The sequence below is a fragment of the Homo sapiens genome, chromosome 2 (genome assembly GCF_000001405.40).
Source record: "Homo sapiens chromosome 2, GRCh38.p14 Primary Assembly".
Classification (NCBI taxonomy): Eukaryota; Metazoa; Chordata; class Mammalia; order Primates; family Hominidae; genus Homo; species Homo sapiens.
Genome location: NC_000002.12, coordinates 109,040,756 through 109,062,817, shown reverse-complemented (window position 1 = coordinate 109,062,817; position 22,062 = coordinate 109,040,756). Strand labels below are relative to the sequence as shown.

General features: G+C 45.6%; 1 protein-coding gene across 1 annotated transcript in view, besides 2 other annotated features; it reads right to left on the bottom strand.

The window, feature by feature from the left end:
• Positions 1-22,062, bottom strand: part of RANBP2 (RAN binding protein 2) — a 1,122,820-nt gene that overhangs the window by 779,484 nt on the left and 321,274 nt on the right. The window lies entirely within an intron of this gene.
• Positions 15,239-15,739: an enhancer, noted in NCBI's record as "H3K4me1 hESC enhancer chr2:109663535-109664035 (GRCh37/hg19 assembly coordinates)". NCBI's record gives its function as "activates a minimal SCP1, AML or CMV promoter by ChIP-STARR-seq in primed H9 embryonic stem cells {active_cell/tissue: H9 hESC(primed)}" and the evidence as "EXISTENCE:reporter gene assay evidence [ECO:0000049][PMID:30033119]".
• Positions 15,362-15,421: a silencer, noted in NCBI's record as "silent region_11853". NCBI's record gives its function as "represses an Ori minimal core promoter by ATAC-STARR-seq in GM12878 lymphoblastoid cells {active_cell/tissue: GM12878}" and the evidence as "EXISTENCE:reporter gene assay evidence [ECO:0000049][PMID:35858748]".

The window sequence follows — 22,062 nt, the reverse complement described above, 5'->3', positions numbered from 1 at the left end:
ATCCCAGCACCCCCACCCCATCCTAGCATCCCTGGGATCAAAAGCAAATGGATTTTTCTTCCCCAGGACTCCAGAGCAGTCTTGCACTGTGCTCTGTCTCACGAGAGAGGGCACTGTCCATGAGGATTCGCTGTTCGGAAGGAGGTGTAAGGCCTGCTGTCCTGCCTTCTCCAAGCTTTGGGCCCCTCATCTGTAAATGGGAAAAATGCATCCACCTGAATAGGGGCTTTGGGGACAGGAGGGGGCATCAGGGGACTTTCCTGGGTGTGGAAATCTGTCTTGATCTGAGTGGTGATGACTCAGGTGCATGCACATGGAAAAATCCACCCGGCTATACACACAAGATCATGCACTTTACCAGGAGTGCAAGCCAGGGACTGGCTTAGAAACTAGTGGAAGAGGCCCCTCCAATGCGGTCTGGTTGAAGGGGCCCAGGGTGTGTCTCTTCCTCAGACACATCCATTCCAGCCTTACTCCCTCTGTCGCTGATGCAGGAAATTCAACTATTACAAATGACTGCCCTTGGCTTAAAGCTGTGTCTCCAACTGGTAGGAAGAGTAACATGTTTCCTTATCTCACCTGCACTTTAGACTCTCAGAGGAGGGAAGTCAGGGGTGGAGAACAAGATCTGAAAATATATTTTCCTTGCCTGATAACTTTTATCCAAAGTGAAAGGCTTTGCTTGTCCCTCTGGGAGAGGGAGAGAAACAGATTGAGAAGGGACAAGCCTGCCTGCCTGGCCCTGCCCAGCCATTCTGCCTCCCTCCCCTGCAAGCCAGGAAACCAGACTTTCGGGGCTGGAGGGTCTGTGAGGATGACAGGAGGGCTGGACATTTGGGACCCTAATGAGGGAGGGGTAGGCTCAGGGACAAGACATCCACTCTGACAGCCACACGGTCAGCTGACCCCCACTGCTGGGAATGCATGCATGGCTCCAGTCGCATCCCACACTGGATGGGCATCACCTCTGCTTGAATCAACCAAAGGGAAACAAGTCCACGGGCCCACCAGACCTTAAATGCAAGGCTTGAAAATGAGGTCAGTGCCCCACATTCTGATAATATGGATTGACTACTTTTTAATGTCCAAAATTGTACACTCTCCCATAATCTTTTGTAGAAAATTCACAACATCCAAGGCTACTATGAACTGAGGAATATTTTTCTATTATTGCACTTATTATTGCATTTATTAGCCATGACAATATCAACTAGTGTTTGAAATATAGTGAGTGTGCATGATGAATGGTTTCATTGGGTAGGCTAGTAGGAAACCTCAGTGTCTCCCTGTTCTTTCCCTGAAGTCTTCCAAGTCCAGGGGCCCTGAGGGCTTGCCATGCACACAGGCTGCTTGCAAACCCACCAAGCAAGCACACACAGACCCAAAGAGATGAGCAAGATGACTCCAAAGGAAGGAAAATCAGCAATGACAAATGATGTCAAGGAAACCATCCCTGTGCTGAATGAGCCTCTTGGCTTTTCCTTAACATATATTTTTACACTTACCTAAAATTTCCCAGAAATGTTGCTTCAAGAGGGCATTCAGCCTAAGCTTGGGAATCTGTGTGCATAGGTGTTTGTGTGCATAAGTACACACACTCTCACCAAGAATCAACTTACATTGCACAGCTCCCAGGGTTTTCCTTGGACAACAGCAAGTGACTGAGAAGGACAGCCTTCTCTGACCTACAAACTTTACATCCTATAGACCTTCTATTAACAGAGGACACTATGAAACCACTATTATTCAAGCAGAGGACAAATAGGTTTCTTCATATCTAGTTCTTCATAGAAATGGAGCAAGTTTGAAGCGCTTACTAGAAGGATGTCCTGTAACCTAAAAATATTAATACCTGCTTCCTTAGGGTGCTGGACTATGAGTAATCTCCTAATTTTTCTTTTGACTTTTTCTAAATTTTCTATAATAAGCATGTAAATTAACTATGAAGACATATATGTTATATATATGACACATATAACATTTATAAAGAAATTATAATCTCAGAGAAAATCACAAAATGTGAGAAGGTAGTTAAAGACCCAACAGGAAAACCATAATCTACAGACACATGGGAAACTGAGGCCCAGGGTGGCAAATGGATCATCCTGGAGCTGGTGTCCGGCCCTTGGCCTCTGCACACCTACTCAGTGAAGCTGCCTCGGGAGAGCCATCTTGACTCAAGAGAAGAGTTTAACTGCAGTGGTTTTCAGCACCAAAGCTAACTTTACTAGATCTTCATAATTTAGAAAATTGAGTATTATCTATTCACAAGGTTCTTAAAACGCTATAGAGAGACAAAAGCAAGGGTGGGAAGTGGAGAGAAAAGGCAAGTATGATGGTCCTGATTCTCTCCCCTCCCCAGTTTAGTAAAATGGGGGGACCTGGGTGTGGCCATGGAAGTTCTATCAACATTCAGCTCTGTTTTTTGCTTGTTCCAAAGGCACATTCATGCAACATGTAACCAGCCCAACCTGGAGCAGACAAAGGACTCCAGGAGATCGAGTCCAGGAGACACCTGTATTCGGTTACCAACAGCTCATTTCCTTATGTTGCTGCACTTTCAGTTTCTAAGTATGTGTATTATTAAATTCTCCATATTCTTTCTTTTTCTTTTTTGAGATAGAGTCTTGCTCTGTCGCCCAGGCTGGAGTGCAGTGGCGCGATCTTGGCTCACTGCAAAATTCTCCATTTTCAATCAGCTGTAACTGCAAAGTATCCTAAGTATTTACTCCACATGCCTCAAAAAGACACATTGTCAAAATGTCTAAGTCCAGGTTGGAAGTCAGGTTCTTGTGAGCTGAGGGTACTCTAGAAGTCAAGGAGCAGGTCTGGGAAGGAGAATCTGGGAGCTCAAGGGGCCCTGGCCAGTCCTAACAGCCAGGGTTAGGATACGACAACCACACTCAGGCCTGTGAGGCAGCAGAATGCTACCCACCCCATTATCCTCCTGGGCACAGTGGCTCTTGTCTGCCACATCCCCCCCACCCACCAAAACCCCTTCCCTACACTGCAGGGCATGGGGCCTGACTGCATCCCAGGATCTGCTGTGTTTAGTGCTCTAAGTGCAGCTCAGGTCAGCCTACATTCTGCAGGAGTGGTGGCTCTGTGGGCAGAGGCCCCTGTCCCGGGGCTGGCACAGTGCCACAGTGCCAGAGGAGAGGCAGTGGTGGCTGGAGTTGGCAGGAGTGCAGTTGCTCCCTGCCCTGGACAACGGCCATGTTGTGTGACCTTTTTTTTTTTTTGAGACGGAGCCTTGCTCTGTTGCCCAGGCTGGAGTGCAGTGGTGTGATCTCAGCTCAGTGCAAGCTCTGCCTCCCGGGATTCACACCATTCTCCTGCCTCAGCCTCCTGAGTAGCTGGGACTACAGGCACCCACCGCCACACCCGGCTAATTGTTTGTATTTTTAGTAGAGACGGGGTTTCACCGTGTTAGCCAGGATGGTCTTGGTCTCCTGACCTCATGATCCGCCCACTTTGGCCTCCCAAAGTGTTGGGATTACAGGCGTGAGCCACCTTGCCCAGCCCCATGCTGTGTGACCTTGACACTGATAGTTTAGGCGGATAACTAGATTGACATTCTCTAGGCCACCCCATGATGTTGTGGACTCCTGGTTCCCTGGCACAGTAGAGGGGCCTCTGTTTCCTGAACTACACCCTGACTGGACCTGCCAGCAGGTCCAAGCTGTGGAGGAGGGTCCCCTAACTCCCCTTCCCCACCCCCGCTTTGGAACGATAAGGCCCGGAGGTGGCAGGTCAGCCTATCCCAGCTGTCCATCTCCTCTCGATCTTCTCTCCATGGCCACTATGCCCCATATCTCTGGCTGTGCACAGGCCACTGTGTCCTGTCTCCCCGCCACTTCACTTGTGTGAGTGGCTTCTGCCTCCTCACTGTCCATGTGAACTGTGCTATCAGCAGAGGCGAAAGGGACCCCACACAAGATCCTGCTTTCCCAGGCCCCCTCCCCAACTCACTGCCCCCATTAGCCTCCTGTGGGGTTCCCCTTCTAGCTCCCAGAGCCCTGCCTTGGAGACCAACTCTACTCTCTGCCCGTCTCCTCTCAGCACCCCAATCAATTCCACTCTTCTGACTCTTCAGAGGCCTGTTTATCATAATTCCCAGTCTATAAAAATGGTTGCTCCCAACTCCTTACAGGACGTTTCCTTACTGACAAGTCAGCTGCAGAGTGGCAGCAGAATTGTCATTGTTTAATGAATTGCATCACAAAAATGGGGAGGTGAGGCTTTGGATGAGCTTGGGACTAAATCTTTAAGCAGGCGCCACATTTGTGCAAATCCCTCAGGCCGCTGCATAATCGCCTCTTTGCAGTCAAGGAGTCTATAAATATCTCAGGAAGGAGAGCCGAGAGCCTTTTCCTAAGGGCTGCCCGCATCGTTTTAGGGGTAAGCTCACGGCGCTGTGACAGGGCCTGGCAGCCAGGGACCTTGGCAGAAGCTATAATAAGAATGTGGGGCTTTTAAGACCCTAGTCCCATTGGATGCCTCCAGTCCAGGCGTAGCTGGCTGGGAAGTCAGTACCCTCTCCACACTGCAGCTAAATGACTGACCTGAGGATAATTGGGGTCATTTGTCACACTGAGAGAGAAGGGGCTGGAGCAGAAAGCTGCTCAACCTGCATGCAGATGGGGTTTTCTGTGACCGTCCCCACCTGCCAGGGACAGTGCGAGCCCACGGGCATCACTGGCAGGATGGACCTCGTGGCTTCCACTGCCAGCACACAGGTGAGCTGTGGCAACTCCCAGTGACCCCTGTTCCTGTGAGACCTGCAAACTGTAAATGTGGGCAGGATAGATTCTGCTCCTGCCCCTCCGCAGCCACAAAGGCCCCTCCTTGCCACATAAGCGCTTAATCAGCATAATGAGCGACTACTGAGCTGATCGTTATCATCTCCCTCCTGGTTAGAAGTGGAACCATGCTGGGGCCAAACCAGGAGCCAGCCAGGCAGACCCAGGCAGGAGAAAACACACAGAGATGAGTAACCACCGCAAGCTGGCACTCAGTGAGGCAGGTGTCTCTTCTTTGTCCCGGGGCGGGGCGAAGGAAGAGGTGGGGTGCTTTGCTCATCCTGCAGAGCCAGGCCCCTCAGCCTGCACCTCTCCCCACCGTCAGATGCATTCTACTTAGAAACAGAACACAGCTAATCGGAGGCTCAGAAAGACCAAGGTTTGATGTTATCTCTACTCCTTCCACAGTTTACTGGCCACAAATGGCCCAAGCCCCACTACTGTAAGTGACTCTCCACAGAGTTCCATGAGAAAGACAGAGAGACACTATAGAAATCTGAAGATGGCTTTGCCCTTCGACTCCGCAATCTGCTCGCTGCTCTCAGGTACATCATATTTATTAGATGACAATAATCCTACCTGCCGTAAATGTCAGAGTCAAGGACAGAGCTGTCATCCGTCACTAAGACCCATTGGAAATAATCTGAGATATCACATTGTCATTTACATCACTGGAAATATGAAAATCCAGTTTCTCTTTACATAATTCAAATAGACCATAGATCAACTTAACACTATGACCCCTTTCTTGAAAAATAAATGGCTTCAGTTTAAAGTATGAAAGCCGTGGATTTATGGGGGACACTGAAGATTAAGAGGACTAATTAGATCTTATTATGCATAATGACATTCTCAAGTGAATATTGTAGGATCAGAAATGAACATCTGCAAATTTCTTGCCTAAAACCCCAGAAACCCTAGGTATTCAAAAACTCATTTCAAAAGATAACTGGGTAATATCAAAGACACATGAGGAAATGCTTGATTTCTAATCAAAGATGAGAGATAGATTAAACCCAAGAGACTGAAAAACAGGAACATTGCAATTTTCTGTCTCTCCCAGGCACCTGCCTCCTACCAGCAACTTCAGGAATAATATTGAACTCTGTTAACCATGTTACAGCTTGACTGTGAGCCTTCACTTTGGTCTTGGGAGGACCATGTACAACTGTTCCTACAGCATATTCACTCAGTGCTTCCAAGGGCTATCTCACAGGTACCTACTGTGTGTCAGGCACTGTGCTCAGCACAGAGTGCAGGAGACCAGTGTTGAACCACACCTTCACTCTTATGGGGCTTACATCAAAGAACTTACCAAAAGAACTGACATCAACTTCTAAGAACCAATTATCTTTAGAAGACTGTACTTAATCCTAAATCCTCGAAAAGCCATCTTATAATCCAATAGGAAACAGAGGAAAGAACAGTTAATTTGGCTGCAGAGGTAGTAGAAGAGCCAATCCATCAATCAACAAATGCTGTCAATCAGGAGGATGCTTTGAGTTCTGCCCATAGGGTGGGAAGAAGAGATCTAAAGACTATAAGCTGGCCAGGTGTGGTGGTTCATGCCTGTAATCCCAGCACTTTGGGAGGCCGAGACGGGAGGAACACTTAATGCCAGAACTTCGAATCTAGCCTAAGCAGCATAATGAGACTCCCGTCTCTACAAAAAAATTCAAAAGTTAGTGAGGCATGGTGGCCTGCATCTCTAGACCTAGTTACTCCACAGGCTGAGGCAGGAGGACCACTTTGGCTCAGGAGTTCAAGATCACAGTGAGCTATGACATTGCACCACTGCACTCCAGCCTGGGTGAAGAGAACAAGACCCAGAGCAAGACCCTGTCTTCCCCCACCCCCTAAAAACAGAATAGAACCCAAAGCCCCTGTTTTAAGGTGCCACCATTGAGTAAATTCTGAGCAACAGCAAAATAATCATAACAGATAATACTAGAGCTGTTGGCTGGGCTCAGTGGCTCACGCCTGTAATCCCAGCACTTTGGGAGGCTGAGGCGGGTGGATCACGAGATCAGGAGTTCAAGACCAGCCTGGCCAAGATGGTGAAACCCTGTCTTTACTAAAAATGCGAAAATTAGCTGGGCGTGCTGGGGGGTACCTGTAATCCCAGCTACTCGGGAGGCTGAAGCAGAGAATTGCTTGAACCCAGGAGGCAGAGGTTGCAGTGAGCCAAGATCGCGCCACTGCACTCCAGCCTAGGTGACAGAGTGAGACTCATCTCAAAAAAAAAAAAAAAAAAAATGTTAGAGCTGTCACAAGGATTCCTGAAAAGACATTACGACAGATACCAGGAAGACTTGTAAGAAAATGAAAAGGCCGCTGGGCGTGGTGGCTCACGCCTTTAATCCCAGCACTTTGGGAGGTCGAGGCAGATGGATCGCTAGGTCAGCAGTTCGAGACCAGCCTGGCCAATATGGTGAAACCCTGTCTCTACTAAAATACAAAAAAGAAAAGAAAAGAAAAGAAAAGAAAATTAGCCGGACACGGTGGCATGCACCTGTAGTCCTGCTACTCGAGAGGCTGAGGCAGAAGAATCGCTTGAATTCTGGAGGCGGAAGTTGCAATGAGCCGAGATTGTGCCACTTCATTCCAGCCTGGGTGACAGAGTGAGACTGTCTCAAAAAAAAAAAAAAAGAAAAGAAAAAATAGAAAAGGCAAGACATATACACATATACTGGAATATACTGGAAGAGACTATTAACGATACATATAGCTGACCAAGAAGTGTCTTCATTTTAATAATAGTAAAACAAGCAACCCAATTCTTTAAAAGGGGCACAAGATTTGAACAGACACTTCAGAAAAGAATATATATGAATGGCTAATAAACACATGAAAAGGTGCTAATATCATTAGTCATCGTGAAAATGCAAGTTAAAACCATCAAGAAATGCTACCACATGCCTACACAGAGGAGACTACAAGAATGCTCATAGCAGCTTTATTCATAGCAAGGGCAAAAAACTGGAAAGAGTCCAGAATTATTTCATCAATGGATGAACAGAAAAAAAAATCAGGATGTGTACATGCCAGCGAATCCTACTTAGCAATAAAAAGGACTGCTGAGACACAGAGCAACATGGTGAACCTCGAGAGACCCTATTGCCTGTCCCATGTGCATGACTTCTACAATAGGCTAAACTAAGCTATGGTGATAGAAACTGGAGAGGGGGCCAGGGCAGGGAAGGGACAAGGGAACATACTGGTGATGGGAACGCTCCACGTCTTGACTGGCGTGGAGGTGACACAGGTGTATACATTTGTCCAAACTTGGCTTGCCAAACTCTTTTTTTTTTTTTTTTTTGAGACGGAGTCTCACTGTTGCCAGGCTGCAGTGCAGTGGTTCGATCTTGGCTCACTGCAACCTCCACCTCCCTAGTTCAAGCAATTCCCCTGCCTCAGCCTCCCAAGGAGCTGGGACTACAGGTGCATGCCACCATGCCCAGCTAATATTTGTATTTTTAGAAGGGATTTCACCATGTTGGCTAGGATGGTCTCAATCTCTTGACCTCGTGATCTGCCCACCTCGGCCTCCCAAAATGCTGGGATTACAGGCGTGAGCCACCGCGCCCAGCCAACTCACCAAACTCTTAAGATCTGTGTGTCTTATTTTATGTAAATTATACTCCAATTTAAAAAAACAAAGATGTTATCAAGGAGCAGGCAAATCTGTATAGGAGCCCAGGATGCCCTGGGGAGAGCAGGGATGGGCACCTCTTTCCTTTTGAAGCTCCTCTTGCATAGACCACGTCTGATGCCAGATTGTCTCTGTGAAAAGCAGGGGCTCCAGGGAGGTCTGTTAACGAGGGAAGGGGTTTTTACCCTGGCAACCCTGCCTCTTGCCCCAGACTGTAATGGGAGCAGGGACTGACTTGGAGCATGGCACATAGATGGATGTGCCAGGCTGGGCATGCTGAGACCCCACACCATGAACACGCCTTGCAGAGCCGCCCAGGTAGTACAGTGGCCTCCGCCTCAGCCCCATAACCCTGAAAGATGCAGCACCTGGTCTCTTGGTGATGGCAGGATTCCCTTGAACTGGCCCCAGAGCCTGGAAAGACAATGCCCCTGGTGCCCTCTGGACTGCGCTGGCAGTGGGGTGGTGGGGCCTGTGAGCCGGTGCCAGGCAGATGGATGATGCTCAGAAAGGGAACTTGATGGGGGAGGGGGTGGGAGAGGGACATGCTTTTCAGACTTCAAGCCGGAGAAATGGCTCACGCCCCTGACGAATGGAGTCCTTACCCCTGTTTATAGAGCAGCAGCCTAGGAAGCAGGTTCGCTGAGCACTGGTTTCCAACCTGTCTGATTCTGGTGAGACAGCATACTCATATGCAGCAAGTGACATGAAGCAGGTTTATTACTTACAGACAGGCAGTCAGGGACAACAAAGCCTAGGACTCATCACCAGCCAGTCTCCAGTCTCCCAAGGCTCGAGAAAGCTGCTGGAGCAGAGAAAGTCTGGTCTGAAAGGGCTCCACTTGCGCTCCAGCTGAGGATGCCTGAAAAGCAGTCTGCCCTGCCTTTATAACCCGGGAGGAACATGATAAGCTGGATGTTCTGTTTCTATGGGGGACTGGGGCAGAACCCCAGCTGTCCAGGCCATTCCTCTCTCTCAGGATGCTGCAGGCCTGGCACATTCCAGTTATTTGCGAGAACTACAAGCAAGAAAAAGGGAGAACCATCCTGCATGCTCCTGCTTTGGCAAAATGTCATTTTCGTCTCTCTTGCCCGAGTGTTTCGCCCTCTCACACCCTCTCTTGGGCAGGGGAGTCTGAACACAACAAACCTTGGAAGTGCAGATGTTGCTGGAGGGGATTTGTGCAGACAGATGAGGTGTACCAGCCTGAGGCCTGGAGATCCAGTACCTGGAGGATACTGGGGTCCACTCACAGCAAAGATGGACCACAGCGCCCTCACCCTCCAGAGAAAGGCCTCACCCTGGCAGAGTTCTGCTGTCTGTAAATTTGGACCAGGAGAAGAGGTAGGTGAGGAGACTCAACAGGGGAAGGGACGCCCCATGCCCATCTGAGGCGAGCTCTGACATGGAATGATGGTTGGCTTAAGGACAAACATAGAGAAATGTCTTAGGGAATCTAGGGGTTAATGTGAGAGTTTCCTCTAGTAATAGCTTTGACCAATACACCCCTGCTTTCCCAAGGATTCTCCCATTCCACTGTTGTTATTTAATTATAATTAAGACAGGCCGGGCCGGGTGGCTCACACCTGTAATCCCAGCACTTTGGGAGGCCAAGGCGGGAGGATCACTTGGGGTCAGGAGTTTGAGACTAGCCTGGCCAACATGGTGAAACCCCGTCTCTACTAAAAATACAAAAATTAGCTGGGCTTCCTCAGCTTTGTTGCTCGTGTGCAACAGAAACTACGAGGACACTAGGCATTTCGTATTTTGAAATGCCTCTAAAATAAATTTTTGGAATGTTTGCCTTTTACCATATTTGCCCCAGAAGACATTTAGAATTAAGAATTGGTTTGTTTGCTGCTTTCGAAAATCAGACGATGTTGAGGCAAAGCTTACACCAAGAAATATAAATTGTGATTTCCCAAAAGTATAAATGTAATATGCTGAGCCCAGGCTTAAGAAACTGATATAGCTACCTATGCTATTAATATATAGGCATAATGTTGCAATACGCCCCCCTTTCTATAAATTGTACCATCTGCGTTTATTTTTATTGAAATGAATGAAGCTTAAATTTGAAGGACTTTCTGACATTTCTTAGGATGACTGGAGAATTCTTGGAGCATCAGAAAACCAGTGCTAGAGATGACTGTTCAAAACTGGGATTACTGATAGTGAATACAGTTGAACAGTGAAATGATGAAGAAGTGGATATACATGCCTTCTTTCATTCTGTTATTTACCTATTGGATACATTTGTTAAACACCAATTATTTGCAAGGGGCTGCATAATCTGTTAGAAGGTAGTATGGGCTAGTCCAGGCGTGGTGGCTCACGCCTGTAATCCCAGCACTTTGGGAGGCCGAGGCGGGCGGATCACCAGGTCAGGAGATCGAGACCATCCTGGCTAACACGGTGAAACCCGGTCTCTACTAAAAATACAAAAAATTAGCTGGGCATGGTGGTGGGCGCCTGTAGTCCCAGCTACTCGGGATGCTGAGGTAGGAGAATGGCGTGAACCTGGGAGGCAGATATTGCAGTGAGCCAAGACCGTGCCACTGCACTCCAGCCTGGGCGACAGAGCGAGACTCTGTCTCAAAAAAAAAAAAAAGAACTTAGAAAAATCTAAACATTTTCTTAAGCAATTATAACAAAAGCAGAGAGACATTGCTGTCTTAGCCAGCCAAATGCCCTTTTTCCTTCTTTTCTTTCTTTTTTTGAAATTTGAAAAAAAGAAACAAAACACTCTTTAATGTAACTACCCCTCTCCCTCTTGGTTTATTATTTCTAAGGCTCACTTATGCCAACTATTGGTTTGACCCAAGAAACTTTGAAAATACACATTCTGCATGCTTCTGCACATTGCGGACGACTCTATACCGCTTGCATGTGAGTATGGGGTTTGAAGCCCCTTAAATGGGTATAAGGAGGTGGAGAAATTCCCTTCCAGGAAAAGAACTGTTTTTATTGGCTAAACATTTTGATCAACTGTTTGGGACCATGGGGCAGGGGGTGAAACTTCACAGTGAAACACAGACAAAAAAGCCAGGATGAGCTGTGAGACTTCTTGTGACACAGCAACTCAGAACAGACAAGAAAGGTACAAAAGCCTTCTGCAGACAGCAGGGTAGGCAAAGTTAACCTCCTTAGAGCCTATGCCGTTGCAAGCATAGTTACATAAATTTGTTGAAGATGTTCTATTTTGAATCCTTCAACTGAGTAAGACAGATAGACTGAGAGCTAGCTCTGCGATTGGTGTCCAAAATTCTGATATAAGGAAGCATGCATTTCAGAGCAGAATGGTATGGGATAAAAACAGTGTGGGCACTGGAGAGACCAATGACAGGAGAACTGGGGCAGAGGAAGCTGGGTTTACTCCTACCTGGCTAAATCATCAGATGTTTAGTGAGGAGGGATGGGAAGTTGATACTAAAACTAAGCCCATCTCCTCTGTAATTATACGTTTATATATATTACACATCTCCTAAATACATAGTACACTATACGTGGTCCCCTTTTGTAGTGTGGATGCAATTATTTAATAATTATATAATAATCCTTTTGTTGTCTCTTTAAAAACATTTAAGAACATCTAAATAACATTTTCTAGTATTGTAAGACGCCATACTGGATTCATCTGGACCCAAAATGATATTTACAGTTAAGTGTTAGGTGCCTGGAGAGAAAGTACAGATGCACAGACTCTTAAAATTGAGGTTTTAGGCAGTGGGTGTGCCAGCTGTCCAGTAGAAATATGAGCCACATGTGTAATTTTAAACTTTCTAGTAATCGCATTAAAAAGTAAAAAAGGCTGGACATGGTGGCTCACACCTGTAATCCCAGCACTATGGGAGGCCGAGACAGGAGGATTACTTGAGGCCAGGAGTTTGAAACCAGCCTGGGCAACCTCATGAGACCCCCCATCTCTACAAAAATTAAAAAATTCGCCTGGTGTGGTGGCTTGCGCCTGTGATCCCAGCTATTTAGGAGGCTGAGGTGGGAGGATTACTTGAGCCCAGGAGTTTGAGGCTGCAGTGAGCTATGATTGCACCACTGTACTCTAGCCTAGGTGACACAGAAAGACCCTGTTTAAAAAAAAAAAGTAAAAAGAAACAGGTAAAATTAATTCAAAGAATATGTTTTATTTAGGCCATTATATCCAAAGTGACATTATTCCAACATGCAATCAATTATACAAACAATTGAGATATTATACAGTTTTTTCATACTTAATCTTTGAAATCCAGTGTGTATTTTATATTTACAGCACATCTCAATTTAGACTTACCATATCTTAAGAGGGCCCAAGAGACACAGTGGCAAGCTAGTGGCCACCAGTAGGACTGCTCAAACGTGTAACACACACTTCCACACACAAATACACGCTCACGGTGGTGTGGACACAGCCAGCAGCTGACAGAACCCAGAGGAGACAAGCATTTACTCTGACCAGATGTGTCGGTCAGCCCTATGGTCTTGATTTGGTTGTTTATTCTGAGCAAATGAAGAATAGCCCCGAACGGGAAAACCTGAAGTTCTGATGATGTTTTTCTGGCAACATTTTTGCACTAGTGTGATCCAAAGATTTTATTGAAACACTCCATAAATCCCCATGTTTCATAAAAGCTTGACAGATAAGGGAGGCAATTTTTCAAAGTGAGGGCCTGGATAATGAAAGTCCAACAACATTGATAGAAATAAATGTGAAAAGCAATTTAATCAGATCCCATAGTGCTTGTTAAATCAGAAGAAAGAGGGCCTCAGGCCCACCTCTGTCCTTGGATACCAAGAGAAGCATCCTCTGAAATAAGCCTGGCCATGCCTGCTCCTTGGTGCAATTACACACAAGGGGAGCTTCTTCAGAGGGGTGAGGGGTCATCTCTTTGAAAGGTTTCTCTGAACAGGACAAGCAGAGAAGTGCTCGCCGTAAATGCCTCTGAGCTGAGACAATTGGCTGCTATAAAGATAATATACAGTAAAAATACACCTAACACGCCTCCCAGGGGCATGTTTAGCAAAATAGTGCTAGGGAGAGAAGAGGCAAGTGCGGGAAGGAAGACAAGACGGAGAGAAAGAAGGCATCTCCCTTGGCCTTCTCTTAATTCAACGTACTGCCCTCTCTGCAGCCTGCATCAGCAGGACCCAGCGGAGGATGAAGTGTAAACTCCCTGTTCCAACAACTCCAGGACCTTCCTGTAATTAGCTCAGCAAGAAAATACAGCCTCCTCCTCACCATGGTCTCCTAGGATAGCTCTACTGAAAAATATCATTGTTTGAAATTCTTGCCTTCCGGATACTTCAAAACTGTTTTCTTTCTTCCCCATCTTATTCACAAAGAGCACATTTAATAGTTGTAAACATAAAGACTCTTTAAAAAGGAGACAGAGAGAAGACTGTGAACTGTTCAGAAATGAGAAACATCATACCAATCTAGAGGTGGGATTTCTTCTAAGATTGAGAAAACACAATTCTCATTTTTCAGGTTCATTAACTCTCTTCAGCTGTGTTTTCATGGTCTAGATACAGAAGTATATAATTTATGAGATGGACCTCTTGCTCCTGCTCTAAAAATGTCAACTTCTTTATTCCATCTCCAACCCACATGAAAAGTGAAGGTATGGGCTTACTTTAGGAGGAGGCTGTCAGGGGCCATAGGGATGTCTGTGGAATATAGAACAGCAGCCTCAAGAGGTTCCCATTCCAAAAAAAGATTGATTTTACTTTTTATAATAATTAAAAGAGAAATATGAATGGTCTCAAAAGAGCAGACACTGAAGCATAGATTTTGGAGGCTTCATGTGCACTCCCTGCAATTCAATTACTGTGATGGAGACTCAGTACAGGAGATATTGTTATGGTGACCCAGGAAAGGTCAATAGGTTGCATGGTGGGGTCTCAGCTCCTGTTTTATCATGAATATAATGTAGATAAAGACTCAAAACTCCACATGTTTGCAGCTACCCTAAGCTAATTTTCCAGGATAGCATCAAATAATTGCCAAAGATGATTAAATTTAATGTCCCCATGGTATTATAAGTTATGTCTTTTGGGAGAGAGTCTGAGGCTAATATTTAATGCCAAAGATATGATTAAACCCTAAAAAGTAAGAAAATAAATCACGTAGCAAGAAAGAGCAAAAATATTCAGCTGCAGCAATTACATTTACAGACAAAAGTAATGGCCTGAGTGCTTAGAAAAATTAGATCACACAGAATTTCTAAGTATTTTATCAAATTAGTTTTTCTCCATGCAAATTATCCGACGTTTAGAAAGCTATAAAGTTCTGTCACACTTCAGTGGCTATTAACAGCTGATTGGGATGATGCGTGTCCTCAGAAGTAACGGCAGGAGGAGTACATTTAGCTTTGTCTCCACTCCCACCCACTAGAGTCAAGGTGGGCAGAGGGGCCACAGGCCAGCCTAGTTTGCTTGCAAGGGAACAGCTGTGGAGAAGCACCTAAAAAGCTGGAATCCAGTTCTAGCCCTGCCACGTCCTCACTATGTGATTTGAGGTAAAGGTTTTGTTTTCAGTTTGGATTTTGTTTTTTTGTTTTTGAGATGGAGTCTCGCTCTGTTGCCCAGGCTGGAGCGCAATGGCGCAATCTCAGCTCACTACACCTCCACCTCCCAGGTTCAAGCAATTCTTGTGCCTCAGGCTCCCAAGTAGCTGGGATTACAGGTGCCTGCCACCACGCTCAGCTAATTTTTGTATGTTTTAGTAGAGATGGGGTTTCACCATGTTGGCCAGGCTGGTCTCAAATTCCTGACTTCAAGTGATCCACCCACCTTTGCCTCCCAAAGTGCTGGGATTACAGGCATGAGCCAACGTGCCCGGTCCACTTTGTTTGTTTGTTTGTTTGTTTGTTTTTCTTTGAGCCCTCAGTTTCTCTGCTTGTAATCCGGGGGCAATAAGCCCATCCTATTAGGCTGAGGTGGCAGATCCCCATGCATGGGAACTGAGTGCAGAGTGCACAGAGGTTTAAGATGTGTTAGTTTCTTGTACCTCACTGAGTCATCAAGAGTCCCCTGCTAACATGAAACAAAAGTCCCCTGTGACCTCTAGGAAGAGTGGCTCTGCATTACCTAATCACTAGCTGTTGCACAGCAGTGGGGGACTAGGACCTCTGCCAAGAATTGGGGAAGCAATGGGAGCAGGGCTGTGTTGAGGCCCAGGGGAGCAGGGCTCTGTTGAGGGGAGCAGGGCTGGGCCAAGTGGCATAGGGCAGGAAGCAAGGATTTTGCTGCCAGAGGAGCACCAGGGAGAGCTGAAGGAGGAGCTGGGTTCTCGGTGGGAGGACTTCCCACTGGCAGTGCATAAGGCTGCCACCCACGTCCAGTCTCTGGCACTGCAGGGCAGGGCAGGGCAGGCCGGGTGCAGCCAGGAGGATGAGCAGGGTTGCTGACAGAACCAAGAGGACTGGTGAGGACTGTGGGGCAGGCTTCCTTCTCCCCAGCCGGCAGGGGTTGGGGTCACTGCCTTACTTTTCCTGCTCCCCTCTCCACTGTCAGCTGTGCAGTCCACTCAGGACCTTGGCTCCTAAGAGGTCCTGTGGTCCAGACATAACACCACAGGAGCCCAGAGGAGGCAGGAAGGGACCAAGGGCACGGTGCTATGTCTGTCTCCAGTCTGTTCAAGTGGACAGCCTTATAGTTAGTTTTGTTTTGAACAATAAAATGCTATACATGACCGGGCAGGTGGCTCACGCCTGTAATCCCAGCACTTTGGGAGGCCAAGGCAGGTGGATCACTTGAGGTCAGGAGTTTGAGACTAGCCTGGCCAAAATACAAATTTAGCCGGGTGTGGTGGCGGGCACCTCTAATCCCAGCTACCTGGGAGGCTGAGGCAGGAGAATCGCTTGAACCTGGGAGGTGGAGGTTGCAGTGAGCCGAGACCATGCCATTGCACTCCAGCCTGGGCAACAAGAGTGAAACTCCATCTCAAAAAAAAAAAAGAAAAGAAAAGAAAAGAAAAAAAGTAAGTTTAAAAAAAAAAAAGCAGTTACCCAGATCTCACCACCAAAACCAAAATCCTTTCAGATTTTTTTTCTTTTTTTTTTTTTTAGACAGAGTCTTGCACTGTCGCCCAGGCTGGAGTGCAGTGGCACAATCTTGGGTCACTGCAACCTTCGCCTCCCGGGTTCAAGCAATTCTTCTGCCTCAGCCTCCCGAGTAGCTGGGACTACAGGCGCCCGCCACCACACCCGGCTAATTTTTTGTATTTTTAGTAGAGACGGGGTTTCACCCTGTTAGCCAGGATGGTCTCAATCTCCTGACCTCGTGATCTGCCCACCTCGGCCTCCCAAAGTGCTGGGATTACAGGTGTGAGACACCATGCCCGGCCTTGGATTTTTTTAAAATATAAATTAATATACACACATTTAAGGACTGAGGCCTGCAAGACGTGTAGATGTTTTATTTCCTAAAACTGTGCTCATCTTGTCCAGAGCCCCACACCCCTGTCAAAGGCAGGAGGAGGATGCTTAAAGCTGCCACTGGAGACGGATACAGCACATGGTTGTTCTGGAAAAGTCCCTTTCAGGTGAGCACTCTCTCTTTGGAGGTAATTGTGTGTTCAGGAGTGTTTCTTCCTCCTCCCTTCCTTCTTCCTCCTCCCCTCTTTCCGCCAAGGTAATAAAAAGTTAAAAGTAAACACACACAGGAACCCCAGTCCCGGGAAGTGGCAGCACTGGGTCACCAGGCCAAGCGCCACCCTTATGTTCGGGAAGGGCACCTGGCAGATGAGCTGAGTCTTGAGTCCCCTTACACGTGGTCCTGGGGTTTCTATCAGGGTCTCTGTTTGCTTGCACCTCCTTTATATCAGATCGTTGTTAGCTCCTTTCCCCATGAGGGAGCGGTCGCTGTCCTAACCCTCCAGTCTCTTCACTGTGGCTTGTGGAAAACCAGACTTTGATTCTGTGACATTAAAGCCCTTCCTCGCTGGGCTAACAGTCCTCTGGGCCCAGCTCTTACGGGAAAAGGGTTACAGTGAAACACTGAACAAACAATAAATGTATTATTTGCAAGATATAATCCCTGTTGAATATGAAATAGTGTTTTGTGACCTATCTGTATTTCAACAGCATACCTTGAACATCACCAAGAGGCAGCCCTCCACCTACCTCCTCCGACCTCCCACTCCTCCTCTTCTAGAATACCCTCTTTGTCCTTCTTCAACACCTTCGACTCTTTCCAGGCAGGTATCAATGTGCCCTCCCTGGAGCCTCCTCAGATGTCCCTGCACTTAGAACAAGACTATAAATCAGAGGTTCATGCAAAAGATTTCTCCAACTCCCTCTGCCCTCAGATCTTCTGAGAGTATTAAGGTGGTCACAGGGCAGATAAACTTTTGGAATAAAAACTCCTGCTGGAACTATTCCCATGGTTTTCTCAGGCCTATTACAGTAAATCCTTTTCCTGTAATAATCCTTACGAAGACTTTAGTAGAATCACTTACTTGTACATAAGAAATCACCTCTTTTACATGACAAAAATATTCTGGGGATGCTCATCATTAAAACATTAAAGCCCTGCTTTTCAGATAAAGAATGTGCCTTCACTGCACTAAAAATGCCCCAACACGAGTTGAACAGACTTGGAGTCAAACACACTATTTTCTCCAGCCAGTCTCTCTCCCCTAGCTCCACACAGATACTTAAAAGCTGGAGTGGGGATGAATAAAGACAGCACAGTAAACCCTATTAGTTTAGATTCTACCACTCTATAGCTTTGTGGTGATGTAAAATTTTAACAGAATGAGTCAGATAAGGACAATTCCATAAATATTTTTTATTGAAATTGGTGTTTATCTCATTATTTTTATTTATTTATTTATTTATTTTTTGCGACAGAGTCTCGCTCTATCGTCCAGGCTGCAGTGCAGTGGCGCCATCTCGGTTCACTGCAAGCTCTGCCTCCCAGGTTCACGCCATTCTCCTGCCTGAGCCTCCCGAGTAGCTGGGACTACAGGTGTCCGCCACCATACCCAGCTAATTTTTTGTATTTTTTTTAGTAGAGATGGGGTTTCACCGTGTTGGCCAGGACGGTCTCAATCTCTTGACCTCATGATCCGCCTGCCTCGGCCTCCCAAAGTGCTGGGATTACAGGAGTGAGCCACCGCGCCCGGTATTACTTTTATTTTTTAAAATTTCTATTCTAATTAAACAATAATGAGATATAATGTCATGGGGTTTCTCCCCTTCATTATTTATTTAGGGATAGAATAATTCTATGTTTTTAATTATATAAAGGTCTTCTAAGCACAGTTGGAATTTTCTTTACTACAGTTAAAAACCACTTCTGATTTCTTCCTTTTGATTATGCCTTTTATTAATCAGGCAACCTGTTGTGTGGGGATCCTGCCCAAAAATGCCTCTCCATCATCCACGCCAGCCTGGCCTCACCATCCCTGCTGCCCTGCCCTCCCAGGCCTCCAGTACCACTGGACCCCACAACCAGAGAAGCTTCCTAACCAGGGGGCCAGCTTGAGGCTGTTCCCCCAAATTATTTCCATCTTTCCAACCACCTTTCTAAAGCATGCCTTAGCTTATACACAGGTAGATATTAACTAGAAGATAAAATCCAACTTCTTCAACATGATGTTCCAGTCTCTTGACAGTCTTCCAACTGGATCAAGGACCCATTCATTTTTGTCTCCTGATGTGTGTCTTCTCTACCAGGCTTCAGGTAACATTTAAATAACTATGCTTGTGATTGCTTAAAAATACATTCGGGCCAGGCACGGTGGCTCACGCCTGTAATTCCAGCACTCTGGGAGGCTGAGACAGTCAGCTCTCCTGAGGTCAGGAGTTCGAGATCAGCCTGGCCAACATAGTAAAACCCTGAAAAATACAAAAATTAGCCTGGCATGATGGCTTGCGCCTGTAGTCCCAGCTACTCGGGAGGCTGAGACAGGAGAATCGCTTGATCCTGGGAGGCGGAGGTTGCAGTGAGCTGAGATGGCGCCACTGCACTCCAGCCTGGGGGACAGAAGAAGACTCCGTCTCAAAAAAAAAAAAAGTTCATGTTATAAAATCATCTTCCCTACTAAAGAGCTCTTATGCAAACATGGGATTTTACTGTAAGTCAGAGGTAATTTCGTAAAGTAATGAAGAAATCAAAATTTACGTACAAATGACGCACTAAAGGTAAGTTGTTTCTGGCTATTCCTTAATTCAGAAGGCTTCTCACCCTATCCCCTTCTGGTTACATAACCCGTTTCAGGGCTCCTGTAGATGCTTGTGGGCAAAACTTCACCTTATTTACTTTTGTAGTGGCCGTTCCTGCTGGGGCTTCATAAATGTTGGTTGAATTGTAATAAAATGATGGTCCTTTCATTTCTTTACTCAGAAATATTTACTTACTATGTGGACCACAGAATTCGGGACAGTTATTACTAGTAGTTCCTGATTCTCTTTGTGTCTCAAGCACTTGCATAGAAACTACTATTTTTCAAATATGTGTGTAGTTATTACATACAAATAATACATTAGAAATTCATTTTTAACATTCATAAAATTCAGTAGAATAAGACCATTGGATAGTTTCATAGTCAATGAATTCTAAAGGTAGTGTAAACTTATGATCACAATGGTTATTAGGATTTCCATTTATGTGGACTAGATGTGGACTAGATGATTAGAACCAATCTTCCCTCCTGGGACATCCAGAAAATACAATAAACTATTTTTTAAATCTGTTTGAGGGACTTGGAGAGCTAACAACATAGACAAGAATTATAAGGCTAAGACCCAGGAGAACATCAAAGTTAGGGAGTTTGGCCTTTAGAACTGTTCTTGCTCTGGCTAAAATGAAAAGGATGGATGATAGACTAATGGTGTTTTTGACAGCCTCTCGGGGTTAGAGAGAAAAGCACTGGACTCAGTACCTTACAAGGATTGGACCTGGCAAACCCCCTGAGTTTGGGATGAGACCTAGTGATAAGGGAGAACTGATCAAAGATGTCAATCCACACATTCAAATCCGAAACAAGATAAATACAAATACATACATCAATAATAAAACTGCAGGAAAAAAAGTCAAACATAAATATCTTAAAACAGCCAGAGATAGAACATAGATTGCATTCAGTTACTTAAAATAAAACTGCTCAACAGAATTATGAAATCTGGAATAAGTAAAATGCTATCTTCAGTGTGCTGGAACAAAGTGACTGACTTCCTGAGTGCAATGCTCTGAGACTAGGAAAAGAAGTGACTTATTTAATGAAGAAAGCTTAAACTTGATACCAAAACTAGACCAGGACCTTATGAGAAAGTAAGATAAGTAGCTAATTTCTCTCATGAATATAGATGTGGAAACCCCAAACTACCTATAATCAAACTGAATCCAACTATAGATAAAAACGTATCATAAGTAATTTATGTTTATTCTAACAATGCAAAATTTGTTTAACATTACAAAACAAACATTGTAATTCACCACATTAACAGAATAAAGGAGAACATATAATATAAATGACTCAATACATGCAGAAAAAACTTTTGATAAAATTTAACATCCATCAGGCCGGGCGGGTTGGCTCACACCTGTAAACCCAGCACTTTGGGAGGCCGAGGTGGGCAGATCATTTGAGGTCTGGAGTTCGAGACCAACCTGACCAACATGGTGAAACCCTGTCTCTAGTAAAAATACCAAAAAAAAAAAAAAAAAAAAAAAAAAGCCGGGCATGGTGGCGGGCACCTGTAGTCCGAGCTCCTCGGGAGGCTGAGGCAGGAGAATTGCTTGAAACCAGAGGCAAAGGTTGCAGTGAGCCAAGATCGAGCCACTGCACTGCAGCCTGGGTGACAGAGTGAGACTCCGTCTCAAAAAAAAAAAAAAATTAACATCCGTTAATTATATATTTTTAAAACTCTTAGCAACCTAGAAATAGAAATAACATGCTAATCAAATAAAGGGTAACTACAAGAAGATCTCTAGTGAATATCACACTTAAGAGTGAAATGTGGAAAGTTTTCCTTTTGAAATAGGGATCATGACAAGGATGTTGTCTATCAGTGTCCCTATTCAACATTGTCCTGGAGGTCTTAGGCAGTGCAGTAAAGCAACAATAAATAAGAGAGCAGGGGGAAGAAACTACCATTATCTTTGAATGCTATACTCGTATAAGTAGAAAATGCAAAAGAATATACAGATAAACTATTAAGATGAATAACTGTGTTTAGCAACGTTGCTGGATATATAGAAGTCAATATTTTAAAAACCAATTGCATTATATATACCAGTAAACAACCAAAAAAAGAAATTTGAGATTAAAAGTATATCTTTTTTTATTATTTTTATTTTATTTTTGAGACGGAGTCTAGCTCTGTCGCCCAGGCTGGAGTGCAGTGGCGCAATCTCCGCTCACAGCAAGCTCCGCCTCCTGGGTCCACGCCATTCTCCTGCCTCAGCCTCCCGAGTAGCTGGGACTACAGGCACCCACCACCACGCCTGGCTAATTTTTTTGTATTTTTAGTAGATACGGGGTTTCACTGTGTTAGCTAGGATGGTCTCGATCTCCTGACCTTGTGATCCACCTGCCTCGGCCTCCCAAAGTGCTGGGATTACAGGTGTGGGCCACCGCGCCTGGCCTATCTTTTAGAAGATTAA